We start from the raw sequence: 24,591 nt of genomic DNA on the forward strand, positions 1-24,591 counted from the left end.
AGTGCTATAGCAGGCAGTGGGTAAATAAGGCTATTTATATGTATGCCTTTTGTTTTTAAATGCTTACATCAGGAAGTAACTCTTCCTCCTAAATTCTCTCATGTATACCTCTCTTGAGATGCATATAATCTACATGTATTACAAGTGGGAAGACACTGTCTTATTCTCATCTCCCTTACAACAATGACCACAGAATGGTACACACTGTGGCAATCTGAAACACTATATTTAATGAAGAAAAGAAAATACCATTATTTCAAACCCACCTTTATTTTTGCATTTTACTCTAAAATGTGAAGAGTTAGAGAAGAAAGGAGAATTAGATGAATACCTAATTACTTAGAATGTCATGTCTTTCCAATTTTACCTTTGATTTCAACAGAAAAAGACCCACTTACTGCCCATTTCCTCATGATGTTGAAAATGTGGTAGTGGGATGGGGGGAGCAGAAATTTCAGCAGAAGTCAAATAGTAAGTGGAAATGCTCTTTACCCACTGGTGAGTTTAGGTCAATCAGAAGTCTCTATCAGCAATCTTAGTGTTTCAAAGCAGAAGGTATAAGGTAAAAATAGCATGATATATAATAAATGTGAATATTGTATATAGTATGATATAAATGATATATATATTTAGTATGACTATATATGAATATGATATATATCATATATATATCACTGTTTATTTAGGTTTTTTGAGATAGGGTCTTGCTATGTTGCCCAGGTTGGCCTCAAACTCCTGCGCTCACGAAATCCTCTCACCTCCTGAGCAGCTGGGACTAAAGGCGTGCCTGGCTTTTTAAAAAATATCCATGAAAGCAAGGGAAGACAAGACTTTGTAAAATAAAGAATAAAATGTTGTGCGTGTGTGTGTGTGTTTTTTTAAGTAACCAAGTACCCATAAAAGGATCAACAAGGAGAAGATGGAGTAAGACAAGGTGCAGGGAATCTCTGATCTGCCTTCTGTGTGTCGAACACCTGTTAAATATCATTGTCAGGCAATTATCCTCAAGCCTTACATACTAACTCCTTTAAACAGTATGAGTACGTTAAAATACTAAATTTAAAATCTCAATGTTGATTCTTTGAGAATATCTGGTTAAGATAACATCAATCTTAAATCTACAGCATATACTACTTTCTATGTCCCTTGATGAGGAAAAAGATAAGAGAAAAATTTTCACCTGCCTTCTCAGAAATGTATAAATATACTCTACCTTTTTTCTTTTTCATTGGTTCATGGCTATCTGGTGATGTTGGAATAGGAGAGGTATCCATGGGTTCAGACTCTTCAGTTGACACCTCCACTACAGTTTCTGTAATGACATCTGGCCTCATAGCAGCATGGATGAATTCTGGAGTTGATACACAAGGAGGAACAAACACTTCCACTATAAAAAAAAGTTGAAAAATTAAAATTTCCCACCCCCATCAATGTTTCTTATGTGGACAGTTCAATATTTAGAAGAGGCGAGGTGTGTTAAGAATTAATCAAAGCAGGATAAGAGCTTAATACTGAAGAAGTTAATTTGCTGAATATTCGATATGATTTAAACTACATAAGGAAAATAAATGCATGGAAAATCAACTTAAAGGAAAAATGTTAATCCTCTGGGTAAGGCAAGGATCATGAGTAGTCACTCCACTCTTTCACACTTATACTTTCAAACTAATTGTAGAAAAATTCTAAATTATTCTAAGAGTTGTGAAAACATTTGAAAATAATAGTATAATAGTGAGTTAGTTAATAATTACTTTCCATCCACATATCCGTCATTATTTTTTAACAGGTAATATATGCATGTGGCTCAAAATGTGAAAGATTTATAAATATGTACTCAGTAAAACATAAGCACCTATAGTTCATTTTAGAATATGAAAAGGAAAACTTGCTCATTACAGACAAGAAATATTACCTTTCGGTATTTAAAGTTTTATTTAATGTAACAGTCCTGATGTTTTAGTCACTAAAACAGTAGGTACAAATTGTTATCTGGTATTCTAGTACATACAGTAATGTTGCTCTGGCTTCCTTCTAATGTGCACAAATAACCAAGATATGACATTTCTATTTCAATTAAGAGATACAATTAATACATACTATCTTAGATTAATAGACTGACCAAAAATGCTACAAATTTATTCTCATATCTCTGAGTAATACACAGGATTCTATTCAAATTAAGAAGTATGGTTGCTCTTATTGTGAATCCCAATGAGAAGGTGAGCCAGTATTTTTGTATCAAGTCAAATTAACATTTGGGCATTAAATTAAAATTAGGACAAATCAGGATTGGACAAAATGACTATCAAAGTTTTTCTTAAAGACTAAGAGGGACCACAAAAAAATAAAAACTCACACTGAAGGATGTGTGAAAAAAATGTCAAAAGCTCCCTTGTCTCTCTACCATGTGTGGTTCTCTGGAGTTACTGCCTATTTATCATTGAATAAAGGATTGAAAGTGGTCCTAACAGGCAACTGCTCCCATCTATCATACTCTGAAGGACTATGAAGGCTTATAACTTGCCCAGAGTTAAGGAAATAGACATGACAGTACAAATAGCTATTTAATAAATATTTGTCTATCTATAGTGGGTATTTTCTGTATCATTTGTTATGAAAATTAAGTATTTAAGACTTGGAGGCCTTGACAAATAAAGTTCAATTACTGCTGTCATGTATTCATGTGTAATGTACCTTTGAGAATTCCCAACAATTCCATTGGATTAAAAAAACAAAAAACTTTATTTTAGACATATGAAGTAGTATGACACGTTTAACATAAGAATGAACAGTTTACATACCAGGACTTCTTGAATCCCTCAAGCAGGTAGGAGATTCCATATGAAGCAGGGCTTCAGCAGCTTCAATTGTCTTATCTGTACAGTGTGCATTACTGCTGTGAACTGATGCTTCCACTGGAGGAAAAATAAGTTCTACTCAATTAAAAATACACTAAACACATGACTAAAACATATTACTAAGAAATAAACATATTCACTCCTGAAAGAGAAATGAAAAATAAATAAATATAAAATAACATGACTAACTCTAAGCCATTGATATCTATTCGTCTATATAAATTACAGAAATAATTTTTAAAAAGCTAATATCTACATTTTATAAAATGAATACTGATATAAAATGAATATTGATTATGAAGTAACCAATGACATTGATTAGAAATTACTGAGAAGTTGGCCAGGCATGGTGGTTCATGCCTGTAATCCCAGCACTCTGGGAGGCCAAGGAGGGTAGACCTTGGTCAGGAGTTGAAGACCAGCCTGACCAACATGGTGAAACCCCGTCTCTACCAAAAAATAGAAAAATTAGCTGAGCGTGGTGGCACATGCCTGTAATCCCAGCTACTCAAGAGGCTGAGGCTGGAGAATCGCTTGAACCCAGGAGGTAGAGGTTGCAGTGAGCTGAGATCGCACCACTGCGCTCCAGCCTGGGCGACAGAGTGAGACTCTGTCTCAAAACAACAACAACAAAAGAAATTACTGAGAAGTTTCTGAATCTTACTCAAAGGAAAACAAAGAAAGATCCTTGAAATTTGAACCCTGCATCAATTTTAGGCCAATACTAACTTGTGGGAAGGGAGGAAGGGTCAGGGAGAGGCTGGTTGTAGATTAAAAACCCTGTGAGGGCAATTATATATTTTGATGTATTGCCATTAAAGCCAGGGCACCTAACAGAACCATGCTGCGCTAATTTAATCAATTAATTCAATTCTTACAGACCCTCTTGAATGACTGAGTAGAGTAAGCCCTCCGTGTCCAAGGGTTCCGCATCAGCAGAGTCAAACAACCTCAGATTGAAAATATTGCAGGGGGGCCGGGTGTGGTGGCTCACACCTGTAAGCACTTTGAGAGGCCAAGGCGTGCGGATCACGAGGTCAAGAGATCGAGACCATCCTGACAAACATGGTGAAACTCCATCTCTATCAAAAACATAAAAATTAGCCGGGCGTGGTGGCGGGCACCTGTAGTCCCAGCTACTCAGGAGGCTGAGGCAGGAGAATCGCTTGAACCTGGGAGGCGGAGGTTGCAGTGAGCCAAGATCACACCATTGCACTCCAGCCTGGGCGACAGAGTGAGACACTGTCTCAAAAAAAAAAAACAAAAAGAAAATATTGCAGGGGAGGGGGAGGCAATAAAAAAAATACAACAATTAAAAATACAGTGTAAATACTACAGCATTTTGTATAAGGGACTTGACTGAGCATTCTAGGATTTTGGTATCTGCCAGGTGGAGGAGACATCCTGGAACCAATACCCCAGGTATACTGAGGGACAACTGTACTCTCCAGGCAGAGGTGACTAAAGATGGATAACAACATGCATTATATTTACTGCCAGAGTACTTGAGAACTTTCTTTATAATTAACCTCGCTCTCTTCAGAGCCTCAGTGGGTTTTAACCTAAGACTTTTTCTTAGAGTTTATTCTTCCCATGAGGCCTTCAAATTCTACCACGCTTTGTATCTCTCCTCTTCTAGCACTTCCTTTATGCTTTGCTGATTATGTTACTTGTAAAACAATGTGTACAGCAGTCAGTGGTTTGGGCTTTCAGGTCCAACAGCTTGGGTTCCAGTCTCTGCCACTTATTTCTGTTACCTGAGGTAAGCAACTTAATCTCTCTCATAGAGCAAGAATATGATAATTTCTTATCATTCCTGTAAGATTATAAACTTCTTGAGGTCTGGGGGGCTAGCTTAACCCATCTTTACATATGCCATGGTTCCCAACATAGACTTTTCATGGAGCAGACATGCGGATTTTTATTTTTATTTTTTTTGAGACGGAGTCTCGCTCTGTTGCCCAGGCTGGAGTGCAGTGGCATGATCTAGCTCACTGCAACCTCCACCTCTCAGGTTCAAGCGATTCTTCTGCCTCAGCCTCCTGAGTAGCTGGGATTACAGGCACATGCCACCATACCGGATTAATTTTTGTATTTTAGTAGAGACGGGGTTTCACCATGTTGGCCAGGCTGGTTTTGAACTCCTGACCTCAGGTGATACACCCGCCTCGGCCTCTCAAAGTGCTGGGATTACAGGCATGAGCCATCACGCCAGGCAGGTATTTATTTTATGTACTGAATTAAGGACAACCCACTGACCTTACAAGAAAATCAGCAATTCAAGAACAAATTTTATTATCTTAATAATATATTAATTTCACATCCTGACTTAAAATGTTGAACAGTTAACTTAGTAAGACGTTCTGAAACATGAATATTTAAGAGTCTCTAACTTGACAGATTTTTTTTAAGATGTCCCCTAAAGGAACTAAAAGTAAATGTTTATACAAATTTCATAAAGTCATATTACAAATTCATAAGCACTATACACTAACGATATGAATCTTTTAAAATTGTTTCCAGGAAACTTTTAATTGGGGGAAAAAATCCAGTTCATCTCAAAGTTCCCTAAATGCTAAAGCCTCAGTCTTAAACAACAGTCATTTGGAAAGCATTTATTTTAAAAATCCAATGACTGTTTTACCACCTGTTGCACATCATCCACAAGGTACTGGGTCTCTCCAGTTGCTCTTTCCATTTATGGAAATCTGTTCAAAGCTAAATGGTTCCAGAGAGGCAGCCAAACCTCTAAGTAAATCTATCTTTAGGTGACCCTGCTTACTCTTATCTGCAGCTTCACTGAAGCAAAGGATTCAATCAGCCTGTGTAGCTCAACTTTAAGAAAACTTAGCATTATTAAGTATAAGACATATTATCATTCTCAATTATTGTTTTCAAAGTGCCTCCCTACAATACTCACATACACTAAGAAAAAAAAAAAACCTTCAATTCTCCAGTTTTTAAAATTTATTCTAGCAAGCATTCTCTTTAAAGTCTGCTTGTGTTGCAATTTAGCTCTTGTCTTAGGTGCTATTAATAAACTATCCTGGGCAAACTAATTCCTTATGTAATTGTATTAAGACACACCCTAAAACTTTACCATATTAAAATCAGAGCTTCAAGTATTCAATAATAATACAGCAAGAGAATTTTACCAGTTTTTTTAATGTTTCAAGTTATAAACAAAATGAAATTTGCCTAACAGTTACATATTACGTGCCCTGAATTCTTACATAGTTTGAGGCACATTTTCAAAACCATGATTTTGTGTTATTAAAATTGTTATGTCAATGGAAATTACTTCTTCAAGGTGTAATTCTTGCACATATTTCTGACCTCAACTTCCCCTTCCCCCCTAAAATTCAACATATTATATCTCAGAAATATTTTATATTTACAGAGTAAAATACATACTTAGAAAATTTACTCATTCATACTTTAAATTTACGATGACAACATAAAATATGCATAAATTACCTATGAAGTTATCAGCCAGAAGATCTAATACTCTACGTACAACTGACAAATCGTTGCTGACATTTACCATGTGCCCAGACCCTGTGCTATAAACCTGACACAAGTGTGAACAGATTTCTGGCCTCATGAAGCTTATACTACTATAGGTTGGGCATGCCTTATCCAAAATGCTTAGGACCAGAAGTGTTTCAGATTTCGAATTTAAAAAAATATATATCTGCACTATATATTTCCAGTGGAACATCCCAAATCTAAAAATCCAAAATGCTTTAATGAGCACTTCGAGTGTCACATCAGTGCTCAGTTTCAGATTTTAGAACACTCAATCTACAGTTCAGAGAGCATTAAATGGAAGATATTTCAAAACTAAATAAAAATGTAAAATAAACTTACTTTGTAAGTTACAAGCATGTTAAGAGGAACACTGATTACTTTTTTACTGCTTACTAATTTTATCTCATCATTTTTATTTACTAACTAAAATAATGCAAAATACAAAAATCTAAGAGGCTGTTCTCAGATCAATTTACAATAATGTACTAATGCCAGTTTCCAAAACTTAACACATTTTGTAAAAGTGAGCACTATCTTTTTATTTTTGTTTACATAAGTCAAGTAACTTTTAACAGAAATTTAAGAAATATTTCTCCTACTTGTGTCTGTAATTAAAAAAAAAATACTATTTTGTTCAGATCAATAATTCAAATAAAATTTAAACTATAATTTTGCACATTTAAGAATAAGCATGAATTTAACAGTGTTGTGCAATCAAAGTAAGCAAGCTACAAGCAAGAGCTGAAAAGTAGAATTCCTTATCTTACTTAAAACTTGACTTACTGGTATCTTTCTACATCTATGAAATTTATAGAAGGAAAAATAAATAACTCATTTTAAAAATAGAAACAATGAAGCTAAAAGTAGTCTGACAGGTATCATTTTCTAGTTACCACTGGTAGTGGCTATTGCTGGTCAATCCCCCTTGAAATAAATTTCAAGAACTGTTTTACTTTTTATTACAGTACCAAAAATAATATTTGCTTGTACCTTCATTTAATATTGGTAAATATCTTCTTGTTCCATTTCTATCTTTCTAATCAACCGGTGTTTGTATGGTACTGAAGACTATTCCAGACTCACTCAACAGCTGTTACAAAATACCAAACTTGGTAATTAAGTCTGACAAGAGGCATACCTCTCAGCTTTGCATAAAAGAATGCTGGCAATGGATCTAGTTCATAAAAATGTTCTCAAGTCAAAAATAAAATTTAGTAGCAATTTAGTTTGAGAGCAGTGAAAAAAAATTAGAAAACACTTCATTAGGTGATAGTGGTATTCTCCTATAAGCAACACTATAAACTAATAGTACAAGGTCTTCAGTCAACTGCAGCACCCGATTTACCACTACTTATCCTCTAATGCCCCAAAGCTATACCAGTAATAGGTAAATGAAGAATACAAATGAAGGCAATAAAAAGGGGGAAAAGGTAATTAAAGGTCTGGAATACTCCATCTTCACCTTTTCCCCCTTGACCTTTTAATCAATATACTTGCATTATAAAGTATAAAAAGGAAAAAGAATGGCAATTCTTTTTTTTTTTTTTTTACACTCTCGGAGGGGGAGAGCGAACTGCCCTCTGCAAGATGAGATCAGCCAGAAATTAAGTTTAAATTAATTAAAATTAAAAATTGAGTTTCTTAGCTACATTTTAAGTACTCAGATACATGCGGCTAGTGGCTACCATACAGTACAGACCTAAACAACACTGTAATTCAGCTATCCTCCGACCTTTTTTATCTGAGGACACTTTTACACTCAAAATACTGAAGACCTCGAGATTTTATCTGTATTTATCATATTTGAAATTACAAAGAAAACTTCAAAATTATTAATTCATTTAAAATAATACACCCATTACTGCAACCATAAATAACATTTTTTATGAAAAATAACTGTTTTTTGAGACAAGGTCTCGCTTTGTTGCTCAGGTTGGAATGCAGTGGCATGATCATGGTTCACTGTAGCTTAGATCTCCTGGGGTGTGATCCTCCTACCTCAGCGTCTCAAGTAGATGAGACCACAGGCACGCATCAGCACACCCAGCTAATTTTTTGATTTTTTTTTTTAGAGACGAGGGTCTCACTATGTTGTCCAGGCTGGTCTCAAACTCCCAGACTCAAGAGATCCTCCTGCCTTGGCCTCCCAAAGTGCTGGGATTACAGGCATAAATCACCATGCCTGGCCAAAAATAACTTAAAATAAAAAACAAAAAGTAAGTAGCTTTGTTTTTTACATTTTTGCAAATCTTATTATACTTGATTCAATAGAAGGCAGCTGAATTCTCCTTCCTCTTTCAATCTATTGGAATAACCCATCTATACATAGCTCCTAACTCCTCTGTACACTTTTGAAAGTGACAAGGCAAATAATGTCCCAGTATTATTTTCAAAACAGTTTTGTCTTTACAGATCCTGTGAAAGGCTCTTGGGACTCCCAGAATCCGGGTCAGAGAGTTTGGTTTTTGAGAAGCGCAGCTGTAATTCATCAACTGTAATTAATAACAACCAAATTCTATCCCCATGCTTATATAAGTTTTAGCTTCTAAACATAAACATCAGGGTGTAGATGACAAATTATGATTCTAGCCTAGGAGCTGTGGCTCACACCTATAATCTCAGCACTTTGGGAGGCCAAGGCAGGTGGATCACCTGAGGTCAGGATTTCAAGACCAGCCTGGCCAACATGGTAAAACCCCATTTCTACTAAAAATACAAAAATTAGCCAGGAGTGGTGGCTCACGCCTGTAATCCCAGCTACTTGGGAGGCTGAAGTGGGAGAATCACTTGAACCTGGGAGGCAGAAGTGAGCCAAGATTGTGCCACTGCACTCCAGGCTGGGCGACAGAGGGAGACTCCATCTCAAAAAATAAAATAAATGTAAAAAAAATAAAAATTATGATTCTGTAAGTAAAACAGTATTTGTCTACTCACAGATAAATGGTTTTTAAAAAGCTCTTCTTAAGCATTTCTTTGCATCCTTTTGAACATTTTGCTATAGATGACACAAGGAATCATTTTAAACAATTATCAAACATGAGGAATTATTTTAAATAGTTATCAAGAACATTCTGCTGCCTGCCCTTCTCCACCAACCAAATTTGTTTCTAAAATAGTTTTATGTTGAATGATTCTGATTGGCTATTTACACACTGACTGATGTGACCATGTAACTCAGTTTTTACATGAATTTTAGTACCAATGCTGCAATGAATTGTGAAGGGTAATTTCTTAAATTCATTTTCAAATGAGCTTTTTAAAAAGAAAACTAGTGTCATTCCTTGAGTTTCATTTTAATGTATCTATTCACATACTGCTTTTAACTTCTTTTCATACTGCTAATTTTTTTTCAATTTGATCTTTTCAAGATTGAGACTACATATTCCAATTTATAGTAAATCAGAAATGAGATTTTCAATTTCATAATGAACTTTAATAAAATAGATTTGTTTTCTGTCAGTGAAAATATTTAGGCTAAATTTCCAGAAAAATTTCACCTTCATTTAATAACTGCATTGTTGACCAAAACTTCTGATTACCTTATTTCGCAAATGTAAAAATAAAATAAAATAAGAAAAGACAAATAAAGGAAAAAGTCAAGAAAGGTATACTTGAGAATAAGGCAGAAATCTTCCAGAAAATCCAGACTGTTCATACACAATACTTTAACATAAATATTAGGAAAGTAACAATGCTAGACATTTGTTTTTCCTATATTAAGCTATATACACTAGAAATGAGCCTAAATTATTAATTAGACTATATTACAGACTTAAACATATAAAGAGCCTCAAGTTCCAATTTGGCACACATTTTTATTTTCAAAGACTGGATAAAAGAAGTTAACCTACCAATTACATAACGAACTTATAGACATATTCATTCACATGGTGTAATATTAGAAAAAAAAAAAAAAACCCAAGGAGAAGCCCTACCTTTCCATTAAGTATTTCCAAGCCACTTATTTTAGAGCTTTAAAAGTCATTAGCAATCATCTAGTCAACCCTGTCTTCTTAGAGAAAAATGAAGCCCTAAAGATGTTAAGTCACTAGCTAGTTTAGTGACAGCTAGATATAGATCCTCAACTCTTCAGGGTCAAGGCTCGTTCTCATACATCATATTGTCCATGAAATTTTAAAGTACGTCGAGTCTTTACTACAAACATACTTTGTAAAATGACAGTGAGTTTTAATAAATAAGCTTATTTATTTCATCCTTTACTCAAACTCCTCTGGCAGCATAAATGTTTATAGCTAAAGGAATGCACATGTGATACTTAACACCTCAAAAGGAAGAAAAGCAAAAGTATATTCGAGCTTAACATGTACCTTAACATGTAGCGACAGTGATAATATTAAGTGTTATATACTTGCTTAGAAACATGTTATGCTGAAAATATTAACCTAAAGCTTATCTCCTCTAGAAGTTGTATAAATATCATTCTACACTAATCATCAACCCATTATAGCAATCACTGGAACTATTTTTTACATTTATACATTATATAGATTTTCACCTGTCTCCCCAGACTGTAAAATCTTTGTGAGGAAGAATTCTCTGTCACACCTGATGACCTCCCTCAAGGAGATAAAAAGGTATTCTGTCCATTACACAAATACAAACTTTAGAAACATTATCCTACCAATGCTATTGAAAATTGGCAGCAATAAAAATTTAGAATCATGATTCCTAATCTTCTGGGCCATCTTTCCTCCCTAACTTTTAACACACTGAATAAACCTTGGGTAAAAGAGCAAACCTCTCTCAAGTTTCCTTCTAAAATAAGGCTTGTAAGGGAGCTTCAGATTACATGAACATAATTGGTGACATAACTTGAAAATAACTGTATGTAAAACATATTCTTTACAGAACATTATTATCATAAACTTTAAGATTCGTATATAGTACAGAAATGCAGTAGAGCTGGAAAACAGCACTTTTTAAAACCCCTTATCAAAAGACAAAACTTTTGTCTTTTCAAACCAAAGACAGTCTTTTATATACACACATATATACTCCAAGGAGAATACCTACAGGCCATATTCAGTTTCACCGGTAATTCCAAAAGCTTACGAAAAAATAGTTTCCAATGGCAAAGTGAAGCCCTCCTACCTTTACAGTATTTTTCAAAGTTTTGATGCAAAGGCATTCTAAGGTTCTTTCCGTGTGTTCGCAGCCACTGGAAACAACATCTCTTGAACTGTACATATTCAATATTCACAGAAATATCATTGACCCAACAACTTCACGTATCGTTAGTACCAATAATATAAAGCCAAAAATTCCATCCCTTAATTCATATTGTAGTAATGGACAATATATACAAAGGAATCAAGTTCTCATTGTGCTCTCTTACTAAACTTAAGTTCTTGTTCTGACCAGAAAGCAACTGTCAAACAGATGTGTTTTAATCACTACTCAGTAAACTGCATTTTCCTTTGGAACCTCTGAAACACATATTTTTACATTTTATAGAATAAAAGACTGGTCACCACTGTGTTGTACTCAATACATACATATTATTTCAGACTTTGAACCTAGAGCGCTTCCGTTAAATTTTGATACATGTGTTCATGATTTCCCCCATCGAACTGAGTCACAGAGTTTTGCCAAGCAAACTACTAATTTCAAGTCCCTTACCTAAAAACAATGGATGGAAGACTGTTAAGATCTTTTACAGAATTACTGTTCCCTGAGTATTTCTCATCGTCCACTTCCCATCCATGGCAATATGAAATAGGAACCGGGAAGAGGAACATGTATGCTTACTATTACAGTAAGTAAACAGTATTCAAGCAGTGCTACATCGATCCAGGGCCCTCACTGCGCTGTCTGCTATTAAGCAAAGCTGCTTTTTCTATGTAACTTAAGTCCGTGCCCTTCCGCTGCAGCAGTGGCGCCGCACATCCCCCACCCCTGCGGCCACTTCCGTGTTTACACTCCTCTTCCCTCCAATTCCATGCGTACATTGTCAGCTTCACTCCCGCCCAATCTTCATTGGCCCAGCGCGGGCCCGTAGTCCCGCCCCCAGAAATCAACGTTCTAATTTGGAACACCTCAGAGAGCAGATTGGAACCAGAGGCCTGTCAATCCCGTCCGTTCTGTCCTTTCCGAGGCGCTTCCGCTGTGGTGGGAGGTTTGGGGGGGGGTAGAGGGGAAGGGGGCAATTCCGTGCTGAGACTTCCCTAGGGCCAAGACTCCCTCCCTCCCGCCTCGCTCCTTAACATTCACCCACTGTTTACAAAAATAAATGTTCTTCTCTGACGCCGCAACCCTCCAGGTCAGGGGTACAAATATATTCCGTGTTCTTCCCATTCTCCCCCTAAAAAAACAACCCACGAGGGAAGGGGCATAAACCTAGTTTCTTCGCAGCCACCCGTTAAATGAGCAAAGGGAGGCGGGCCCCTGAAACATCATCCCGGTTACTCAACATTATTAAGTGACCCTGTCCAGGACCGTTACTCCTGAGACTGCATAAGGTGGGAATGTGCGGAGGAGGGAGGGTCAGAGCATTTTTTTTTGGCGGGTATCGGTCCACCGGACATCGCCCCTGGCTGCCTGGTCCATGCGGAAGTCATGGAATTGTGGACGAAGTCTGAAGGGAGAACCGAGCGGGGGTGGCGAGCGTTCGCCGGAGAAGCCCGCCGCCCCCGAACGCGGGCAGCAGCGGCCTCTCCGGCCAGACAGCGTGGCAGGCGCAGCCGAGAGACAACAGCCTCACTCACTTCCTGGTTCCTCAGCAACTGGGGTGAAGCGCACAACTCGTCCGCCCCCGAGTGCCCAACTTAACCGCGGCTCCGTTCTCCAGCACCCGCTGCCAGCGCTCAGCCCGGCAGCTGCTGCTGCTGCTCGCCGAACCCACCCTGAAGCGACAGCGCCGGATTCGAGGCAGGTTACTCTCCAAGGTGATCACTTCCTGATTCGTCGCCTCCATTACTTCATTCACTCCCCCCTTTCCCCCAGCCGCCCCAGTGACTGTGAGGTGGACACTGTACCCCCAGCACAGACTGCTACAGGGGAGTCACCCCGCCTTCTGTGCACCCCCTCTCCTGCTGCACCGATGCACGGGAGAAAAGTTCCCCTGTCCTTACCGGCCCGGATGAGCAGATCCAGCTGGTTCGTGGGTCCCTCATGCAGAGACGTCGCCATGTTTATCCCGGGGCTGGAGCTGCTGCTTCACATTGACTTACACCGTGAGCAGCGGCGGCAGGGGAGGAGGCGGAACCCGCGGCCGGAGACACACGCCGTGCGACCGACACACACTCACGCACTCGCACACACTCCGACGCCCGGATCCTTGCGCGTCCTCCGACAGGAAGCCGAGGCCGGCCCGCCTCCCGCCGCCGGGCTGAGAAACCCCACCACCTAACGGCAGGGGCAGGGGCGGCAGGGGCAGGGGCGGCGGCGGCGGCGGCGGCGGCTGTGGCTGTGGCGGCCGCCGCAGCTGGCAACGCGATCCTTCCGCCCCGCGCCCAAACAGGAAGTCCCGGACGCTTGCTCCAGAGAGCGGCCGCAGCCTGCGGCGAGAGACACCTGAGGCTGGGAAACGGCTCCGGGAGCCGCGCGAGGACACAGCCCCTCGGCAGGAAGAGGCACATTTCACGCTCTGCGGAAGAAAAGTCTGCAATTGTCCCCCCTCTGGAAAAGAGCCATTAATCATATTTTCTTCCTGGAAGCAATCTAATACCTAGTCCTGCAGCTGTAAATAAAGGTGGCTATTTAACTTCTTTTGGCTTTTTCAAACCTTATGCAACATGTAACCAGTTCACTTGAAACATCTGCACTTTTAAGACAGGAACACCAACAAAGTCATACCTAGAACATATTCTGAAAGCATTACTTGGAAAATAAGGAGTTTCCAACTACTTTCTGAGACCAACTTCGTCCTTTTCCCTTAACAGAAGTGTCAAAGAGCACATTAAACGGGTATTTAGTAAACAGAACACACCAACCTCTGGAGATGAGACTCCCCCAATATGCTAATCATGAAATTCATGTACCCTTTCATTTCTGTTTGGCTCACTTGGAAACAAATTTATATTGTCATTTACTTCAAAAAAAAGTAATTCTTGCTGAAAACTAACCTAATTACAAATACATATTAAAATACAATGGACAAGGGAGATAAATCGCCAATTTAATGACTATAAATTTACTGAACACAGGAAATCAAACCAATATAATGACGAATAACGCTTCATTAAAATGCTTCCCTGGTTTCAGAATTTAATAATACATAAATTGTTTGAAACAAAGGGTTATGCTAAAGTTGTCTGCACACAAAACTTACATAAAGGAACAGTGCCTCCTACAGAGTAAGTGCTCAATAAGTATTTGCTGAATAAACAAAAAGATCTGGCATTACAAATTTAAAATAACAAGGTGACAATTTTTATGATCCGAATTGACTGAACTGTGTAGAGAAAAAAATGTTTTCAGTGGTAATATTAATGCGATATCATCTTATAAAAGCTTGCCCAACATGAGTGCAGCATCAGAATGGATTTACATAGCCCATGACTATTTTTTCTCATTTCTCCTAATATTCATTTATTCTCTTGGTCCTTTTACCCTACCCCTATCACCATGATCCTCACTCTCCCAAAAAAAGAACCTACATGCTATTTCCAAAGTACAACTCCTCTTTAAATAAGGATCTCTTTCTTGAATTAGGTAAACCTGCCATGTATGGGACATGGTAGCTTTTATATTTTATTGCCAATCAATTTAAAGTAAGCATCATCCTTAGCTGGGCATTGTGGTGGGCCTGTGCACCTAGCGACTCAAGTCTAAGGCAGGCCATTTTCTTGAGCCCAGGAGTTTCGGGTTGCAGTGAGCTGTGATCGCACCACTGCACTCCAGCTAGTTATTAGAGAACCACAGTTAGTCCACTCCTTCACTTTACACATTGGGAAACTGAGGCCCCAAGAAGTTACTTAACAAAGGTTACAAAGTGTCTTGTTACTTCAAGGTCAAAACTCTTACAAAACAGTCTTCTATAAAATTTAGAAGTTATAAAAAAAGTTAAATCCATTTTACTACTATTATATTTATAGTATGATAAACTGCAAAATGGTTGATTTTTTTTAATGTCAAAGGTAAAGCAATGGGAAGTTAAAAGAGAAAAATGGAAGAAAAAAGTTTTGAGAAGTGAATGAGAGAATAGGAAGAGGCCAAGCTGTCAAGTTTTTCTCATACAACTAAACAATGAAATTCAAAGTTGGTACCTTGAGCATGTTTAGGGAAAAAACAGGGTCAAGAAAACCGTAAGAAAAATATGTCTGTGAAGCACAACAAGCTGGAATCATATAGTTTAGGAGCACCAAGTAAAGCTTGGTCTGTCAACATCAGAAAATAGACAATAGTTACAGAAGTGCAGTCTACAGATGTACAAAGAAAAAAGATGAATTATTTCATATATTTTATACTACTGCTTAAATGTCTATTTGAGCTTTTTATGTTACTGATTTATTTAATAGTCAGGTTTTATAAAATATTATTAAAATGAAGATCTTCGAACCGTCATAAACTAATTCACTTATTCAACAAATTATTATCCAGTACTTACTTTAAGCAAGTTTCTGTTATAGGTGCTTATTAAGCTGGTAGCACTAAATTATATAACAAAAGGAAGAAATTAACCCTTCTCAATTCATATAGAACTCCCCACCCACCAAGGGTGAAAGTCTTAGAGACAATATGATACACAAGACTGCTTATATATGAAATTAAATAATAGGGTGTATATACAGTGGGTATAATTACCACCCAAGGATGTTAAATTATTTATAATTATAAAAGCCTTCATAAGGCATAAATTTTTAATAGGGGTTCAAAGAGGCAAATTTTTGTTAATGAAATGTTTATTTTTTCAGAGGAAAAGGACTATGGCTAATTTTAGATTCCTTTTAGGAGTTAGGAGGATCATAACTCCTAAAAGTAATTTTATTGTAAGTCCTTCTGTCATATGTACAATAGCATTCATTTTGAGGCATGAACCATGAAAATCTTCTGACAAGGGTCCAGTATTTACTGTTTTTGATACATACTTAGCTTAGGTGTGATCTGACTTAGGTTCATGTTTTTTGCATTTTAACTTATCCCTGGGCCAGGCTCTCCTTGAGACTTGTTGATTCTTCACTTTATGATTTATACTAGACAAACCATTCTGTCCAATTATTAGCAGCTACTCTTAGAAGACTGTCAGCTAAGTATTGCAGCTAGTCATTAATTAATTCAGTAATTCATTCATTTATAGAAACAGGGTCTCGCTATGTTATCAAGGCTGGTCATCAACTCCTTGCCTCAAGCAATCCTCCGTCCTTGGCATCCCAAAGTGTTGGGATTACAGGCATGATCTGCTGTGCCCAGCCCTGCAGCTAGTCTCTTCTAATGGGTGTTAGACAAACACGTTTTTTTGTTTTTGTTTTTGTTTTTGTTTTGAGACAGAGTCTCGCTCTGTTGCCCAGGCTGGAGTACAGTGGCGCGATCTCGGCTCACTGCAAGCTCCGCCTCCCGGGTTCATGCCATTCTCCTGCCTCAGCCTCCCGAGTAGCTGGGACTACAGGCGCCCGCCTCCACGCCCGGCTAATTTTTTGTATTTTTAGTAGAGATGGGGTTTGACCGTGTTAGCCAGGATGGTCTCGATATCCTGACCTCGTGATCCGCCCTCCCCGGCCTCCCAAAATGCTGGAATTACAGGCGTGAGTCACCACGCCAGGCCACAAACAACTTTTTAAAATAGCATCTATTAAGCACCCAAATGTACATGAGTTAGAATAGTTAATGATCTCTATAGTTTAAACGACATTTATGACAACTCATTTCAAGGGTTTGAGTTGTTTATTATCATCAAAGAATATGTAGTATCTTGAATACACTGGGAAAAAAAATTTGCAATTCTTGTGAAACTTTACAAGGACCCATATATAATTCTTGTTTAGCGTGTTTATGAAAAATTTTAGGCTGGTCACAGTGGCTCACGCCTGTAATCCCAGCACTTTGGGGAGCCTAGGTGGGTGGATCACCTGAGGTTGGGAATTTGAGACCAGCCTGGCCAAGGTGGTGACAGCCCGTCTCTACTAAAAATACAAAAATTAGCTGGGTGTGGTGGCGCATGCCTGTAGTCCCAGCTACTTGGGAGACTGAGGCAGGAGAATCATTTCAACCCAGGAGAGGAAGGTTGCAGTGAGCTGAGATCACGCCACTGCACTCCAGCCTGGGAGCAGAACAAGACTCTGTCTAAAAAAAAAAAAAAAAAAAAAATTACAATAAAAATTTTAACTGAAAATATACTAGTCAAATCTCATTTAATTCCAAAAGGAATATTTAGATTAACCAATTTCTTCCTTTCTTACAATACTTTCTGAACTCTACCCACTGAAAAATTCTTCAAATGTCAATACTGAGTTTTTAATTGCCAAATCCAGTGACCTCTTCTCAGTCTCCATCTTACTACTTCTCCAAATATTGTTGACTACCCCTTTATTGAAATCCTTCCCTTCGTTTGATTTTCATGATAGTAAACTGTCTGACTTTTGTTTCTTCCTATTTCTTTTCAGTTGTCTTCACCCACTTCTACACAACCGTTAAATGTGACTGTTTGCCTAAAGTATGATCCTTAGCCTCACCTTCTCTCTCCATTCTCCACTCTCTCCAGAATGGTATTATCCCCCCACTAGGGGGATAAAAGTCCCCCACCTAGGACTTTTTTTTTTTCTTTTTTCTTTTTTCTGAGACAGAGTTTCACTCTTGTTGCCCAGGCTGGAGTGCAATGGCGTGATCTTGGCTCACCGCAACCTGCGCCTCCCAGGTTCAAGCGAGTCTCCTACCTCAGCCTCCAGAGTAGCTGGGATTACAGGAATGCACCACCACACCCAGCTAATCTTGTAGATTTAGTAGAGACAGGGTTTCTCCATGTTATTCAGCTGGTCTCCAACTCCTGACCTCAGGTGATCTGCCCACCTCGGCCTCCCAAAGTGCTGGGATTACAGGCGTGAGCCGCCGTGCCTGGCCAAGGACTTTCAATACTATTTCTATACTGATTCAAAAATCAGCATATCAAGTCTTGATTTACTTTTTAAAAAATATATAGGTCCTAATTTCCAATTGTATAATAAACATCTCTACTTGAATAACCAACTGATACCTAAAGATCCTTTATCTACAGATTTCATTTATTTATCAATAACCATCATCTTACCAGGTTAGAAATCTTAGTCATCTATGTTCCTAGTTTAAGAACCCATCTCACACATTTTTAGGGGGATTTAAACCACACAGGAATTGCTAAAAATAATGTAACATAGTCATATCCCCTTCTCAACCAGAACCTGCAACTACTCATTTATGCTGTAAAATTGTTTTCCCCCAAGAAATAACATATAACAGATGAAGATAGCATTTTTGAATACAACCCCCAGAGAAACTGCTATCATGAGTTTGGTGTATATTCTTCCATTCTACTTTTTATACTTTCACATGTGTATATATTTACATACGTATGTGTTTGTGTATGTATCCCTGAATGACATACAGTATTATTTTACATGCTCTAGGTACATAAATGTCATTAAACTATATATGCCATTCTAAAATGTATTTTTTAATCATTCAAGATTTACATTCTATCCATGTCAGTATACGTAAATATAGCTATTCTTTTTAAATGCTACAAAGTATTCCAGTGTATGCATTTACCCCATTTTATTCATCACATTATCTAAGTTATTCATCACATTATCTAATAAAGTTATTCATCACATTAGCAAATAGTTTCCATTTCTCACTTTTAGAAATATTTCTGCAAAAAAAATTACATTTTCTTAAACATGTATGCTAGAGTCTTTCCACATCATATACCAACAAACAGTTTCTAGGTCATAAAGTATTTTGTCTTTTGCTTTTTGGTATGGGTCTCACTCTGTCACTGAGGCTAGAGAATAGTGGCATGACCATAATTCACTGCAGCCTTGAACTTCTGGGCTCAAGAGACCCTCCACCTCAGCCTCTTAAGTTAGCTAGGACTACAGTCATATTCCATGCCTGGCTAATTTTTTAAAATAATTTTAGAGACAAGGGTCCAGCCATCTTGCCCAAGGTAGTCTTGAACTCCTGGTCTCAAGATATCCTCCCATTTGTCTCCTGAGTAGCTAAGACTATAGGCACACACCACCACACCCAGCTTATCAGTACAATTTTAATTTGATGTAATTCTGTCCAAAGTGGCTATGCAAGTCCAGTGGTTTGGCAGAGTTACGATTTTTCTCACATGCTTGTCAATTCAAGATATAAGCTGACTTTTTAAATTTCTGCCATGTGTTGAGTAACAAAAAATTTTTCATTGTTGTATTAATATGCATGTATTTAAGTATTAAGGATAAATATTTTTTCAAATACTTACTGGCCATTAACATTTCCCCTGTGAATAGACTATTCATGTCCTTGGCCATTTTTCTATAAAGGCATTTTTTGTCTTATTGATCTATAGAATGTTAATATATTCTAAATAACAATTCAGATTTATCTTGCAAGTATCTTCTGCCAGCCTGCTGTTTGCCTTTTTTATTCTTGAGACAGGGTCTGGCTCTGTCATCCATGCGGGAGTATAGTGGTATCATCTTGGCTCAATGCAACCTCCGCCTCCCAGGCTCAAACGATTCTCGTGCCTCTGCCACCCGAGTAGCTGGGATTACAAGCACATGCCACCATACCCAGTTAATTTTTGTATTTTTAGTGGAGCTGGGATTTTGCCACGTTGGCCAGGCTGGTCTCAAACTCCCAGCCTCAAGTGATCCGCCTGCCTCCCAAAGTGCTGGGAAAAACATCCAGTTTTGATGTAGTCAAATTAATGTTTTCCCTTATAGTATATGGTTTGTTTTGTTTTGTTTTGTTTTGTTTTGTTTTGTTTTGAGATGGAGTCTCACTCTGTCGCCCAGGCTGGAGTGCAGTGGCGCAATCTGGGCTCACTGCAAGCTCCACCTTCCGGGTTCACGCCATTCTCCTGCCTCAGCCTCCCAAGTAGCTGGGACTACAGATGCCCGCCACCATGCCCGGCTAATTTTTTGTACTTCTAGTAGAGACAGGTTTTCACCATGTTAGCCAGGATGGTCTCGATCTGACCTCGTGATCCGCCTGGCTCGGCCTCCCAAAATATTGGGATTAAAGGCGTGAGCCACCTCACCCGACCTTCTTATAGTATATGTTAAAGAACCCTTGGAATAAAAAGGAAATCATAAAGAAACTAAGAAATATCTAGAAACGAATTACAATAAAAAATGCAACATGTCAAACTGTGTGATTTAATTAAAACAGTACTTAGTAAAGAAATAAAAGGTTTAAAAATAAACAAGCTCAGCATTTGATTCACAGATGGAAAAAGCAACATAGCAAACCTAAAGAAACTAGAAGGAATAAATAATAAAAAGCAAGAAAAATGAAATAGAAAATAGTAATTTTTTTTGAGACAGGGTCTCACTCTGTTGCCCAGGCTGAGTGCAGCGCTGCTATCACAACTCAGTGCAGCCTCAACCTCCTGGGCTCAAGTGAACCTCTCACTTCAGCCTCCCAAGTAGCTGGGACTCCAGGTGTGTACCATTGCACCCGGCTATTTTTTATTTTTTTGTAGAGGTGGGAGGATTACTTGCCCAGGATGGTCTCGAATTGCTGGATACAACCGATCCTCCCATCTTGGCCTCCCACAGTGTTGGGACTACAGGCATGAGCCACTGTACCTAGCCAGAAAATAATACTTTTCAAAAATACAGAAGATTCACAAAACCAGAAGATGACATTGAAAAGATTAATAAAATAAACACACTTTGGCAAAGGTTGTCAAGAAAATAGAATATACATATTATTTATATATAGAGAATATATATACACACATATATATACACATATATATACACACATATATATACATATATACACTACATATATACATATATACACTATATATATACATATATATATATAAACATGGAACAAAAAGGGGGAAATAACCACAGATACAATTGATATTTAAAAATAATAAAATAGGCCGGGTGTGGTGGCTCACCCCTGTAATCCCAGCACTTTGGGAGGGCGAGGCGGTTGGATCACCCGAGGTCAGGAGTTCAAGACCAGCCTGGCAAACATGGTGAAACCTCGTCTCTACTAAAAATACAAAAATTAGCTGGGCGTGGTGGCAGGCGACTTAATCCCAGCTATTTGGGAGGCAGAGGCAGGAGAATCTTTTGAACCCGGGAGGCAGAGGTTGAAGTAAGCCGAGATCATGCCACTGTACTCCAGCCTGGGCAACAGAGTGACACTCCATCTCAGAAATCATAACGTAACATAACATAACATAACATAACATAACATAACATAACATACATAACATAACATAACATAACATAACATAACATAACATAACATAACATAACATAACATAGGGCCGGGCGCGGTGGCTCACACCTCTAATCCCACCACTTTGAGAGGCGGAGGCGGGTGGATCAGCTGAGGTCAGGAGCTTGAGACCAGCCTGGGCAACGTGATGAAACCCCATCCTGGATCGAGACCATCCTGGCTAACAGGGTGAAACCACGTCTCTACTAAAAAATACAAAAACTTAGCCAGACATGGCGGTGGCCGCCTGTAGTCCCAGCTACTCGGGAGGCTGAGGCAGAAGAATGGCGTGAACCTGGGAGGCGGAGCTTGCAGTGAGCCCAGATCACGCCACTGCACTACAGCCTGGGCGACAGAGAGACTCCGTCTCAAAAATAAATAAATAAATAAAAATAATAATAATTAAAAAATAGTATTATGAACAATTATATGCTACTAAAGCTGACATCTGAATGAAACATATAAACTACTAGAAGTATATAAAATTCCCAGTAGGCATACGCATACACATACAAAATTGAATAGAATAGTAAATAATTTTTTTTTTTTTTTTTTGAGAAAGAGTCTCGCTCTGTCGCCCAGGTTGGAGTGCAGTGGCGCAATCTCGGCTCACTGCAAGCTCCGCCTCCCGGGTTCACGCCATCCTCCTGGCTCAGCCTTCTGAGTAGCTGGGACTACAGGCGCCTGCCACCACGCCCGGCTAATTTTTTGTATTTTTAGTAGAGACGGGGTTTCACCGTGTTAGCCAGGATGGTTTCGATCTCCTGACCTCGTGATCCGCCCACCTCGGCCTCCCAAAGTGCTGGGATTACAGGCGTGAGCCACCGCGCCCGGCCAGTAAATACTGAAGAAATTAAAACATAATACAAAACCTTCCCTCCACAAAAAACAAACAAACAAACCAACAAAAACCCAGGCTTGAATATTTTTTATGCAAATTCTAGCAAATTTCAAAATTAATTCTTAACTTATGCAAGCTGTTTGCAGAAGATAGAAGAGAAAAATCAGTGAAAGCTACCTGGATTATTTTATGAGTCTAGTGTAATCTCGATTCCAAAAGCAGATAAAGACAGGAAAGTAAAATTATGGTTCCACTTCACTTATGAATAGATTCCAAGACTCCTTAACTTAAAGCAACGCGAAGCAAAATGATGAGTAACATTTATCCTCAAACGACAAGACTTCAACATCTGAAAATCCATCAACTGACCATATTAATAGAGTAAAAGAGAAAAATGACTTATCAAATGCCAAAAAAGCACTTGATAGGACTCATAATTAACACAAAAGGAATAGAAGACAATTGCTTAACGTGGTATACATTATATACTAAAGCCTATAACAATTTCAAGTTGAAACTTCAGATACATTCCCTTCAAGATTAGGAACAAAACAGGGATGGCCATTAATATTACTACTCTTTTTAAAATATCACTTTCACATAATACTGGAGTTCTTGACTAACATCTTTTTTTTTTTTTTTTTTTTTGAGACGGAGTTTAACTCATTGCCCAGGCTGGAGTGCAATGGCGTGATCTCCGCTCACTGCAACCTCCGCCTCTCGGGTTCGAGCGATTCTTCTGCCTCAGCCTCCTGAGTAGCTGGGATTACGGGCATGTGCCACCATGCCTGGCTAATTTTTTGTATTTTTAGTAGAGACGGGGTTTCTCCATGTTGGTCAGGCTGGTCTCAACCTCCCAACCTCAGGTGATCCACCACCTCGGCCTCCCAAAGTGCTGGGATTACAGGCGTGAGCCACCACGCCCGGCAACTAACATCTTAAGAAACGAAAAAGAAATAAGATAACTGGAAAGACAAAAGGAGGGCTGAGTTGTCCTAGCTAAGGCCCTCCTAGACCAGTTAGTTCCCAGCTGATCCACAGATGACCATAGATACAGGACCAAAGCCATCACAGCAGAGCCACATAACCAGCCCGTAAGTCTGAGGGAAACAATAACTGGTTCTTGTTTCAAGTCAATAAATTTTGGAGTGGTTTGCAGCACGAGGATAAAAGTAGGAACTGAAGGTTATTTATTACTGAGTAAGTAGAAAGGTAACGTGGTGGATGTTTAAAAGGGGTACTCTGCAGCAGTTTGAGCAACAAATAAGATATATACAAAGCAACATGCAAGGATATTAGGAACAGTGCTTACTTTAAAAAAGTAGGAAACAGAGTAAGATACATAACACCATTTATATAAATTTTAATTATATACAACAGGACATACAACCTCAACAAACTAAGAAAATATACATTAATCAATTTAAATGTGATGCTTATTTCTGAGGGAGAAAGATAAGACTTGTGTAAAAAAGATTAAAGTAATGTCATTTTAAAAAATGAGTAAAATGAGGAGATATGAAATAGGCATCTAATTTTAGATTTATTTATTTATCTTTATATATCTTAGAGTTATTTTTAGGTCCCTAGTAAAGGGTGTTTTGTTTTGTTTTTGTTTTTTTACTATTATCAATGGGATCTTTTTTGTTTCATTTTCTTATTGATTATTGCTCTTGCATACGGCAAACCTGATGAAACTTCTTAACAATGTTAACAGTTTATCTGGATCATCTCTTAAATTTTATGTGTTAATTAAGTCATCTGTAAATAATAACAATTTTGTTTCTTCTCTTCTGATCTTTATGCCTTTTTTTCCCCGTCTCATTGCATTGGCTAGGACCTCCAATAATAATTCTAGTTAGTAAAGTTGATAGCTGGCATCTTCTTTCTCCATTAAGCATGATATTTGCTATAGATTTTTTTTTTTTTTTTTGAGACAGAGTCTCATTCTGTTGCCCAGGCTAGAGTGCAGTG

The 24,591-nt window shown here is 38.3% G+C and overlaps 1 protein-coding gene across 23 annotated transcripts in view, besides 2 other annotated features; it reads right to left on the reverse strand.

Annotated features, from left to right (window-relative positions):
* ELF2 (E74 like ETS transcription factor 2) overlaps nucleotides 1-24,591 on the reverse strand; it is a 120,696-nt gene that overhangs the window by 13,433 nt on the left and 82,672 nt on the right. For 10 of the 23 annotated variants that reach the window (XM_047449741.1, XM_047449737.1, XM_047449733.1 and 7 more), the window contains 2 exons: nucleotides 2,802-2,915; nucleotides 1,214-1,387 (listed from right to left, as the gene is read on the reverse strand). In XM_047449741.1, coding sequence (XP_047305697.1) covers nucleotides 1,214-1,387; nucleotides 2,802-2,915 — 288 coding nt within the window. Of the gene's footprint in view, nucleotides 1-1,213; nucleotides 1,388-2,801; nucleotides 2,916-12,029; nucleotides 13,573-24,591 lie in introns of those variants that run through there. The other 13 variants (XM_047449740.1, XM_005262805.3, NM_201999.3 and 10 more) reach the window with 4 other exon arrangements.
* Nucleotides 13,161-13,550: an enhancer, noted in NCBI's record as "active region_21918". NCBI's record gives its function as "activates an Ori minimal core promoter by ATAC-STARR-seq in GM12878 lymphoblastoid cells {active_cell/tissue: GM12878}" and the evidence as "EXISTENCE:reporter gene assay evidence [ECO:0000049][PMID:35858748]".
* Nucleotides 13,781-13,910: a silencer, noted in NCBI's record as "silent region_15694". NCBI's record gives its function as "represses an Ori minimal core promoter by ATAC-STARR-seq in GM12878 lymphoblastoid cells {active_cell/tissue: GM12878}" and the evidence as "EXISTENCE:reporter gene assay evidence [ECO:0000049][PMID:35858748]".

Source organism: Homo sapiens, chromosome 4 (genome assembly GCF_000001405.40).
Source record: "Homo sapiens chromosome 4, GRCh38.p14 Primary Assembly".
Taxonomy (NCBI): Eukaryota; Metazoa; Chordata; class Mammalia; order Primates; family Hominidae; genus Homo; species Homo sapiens.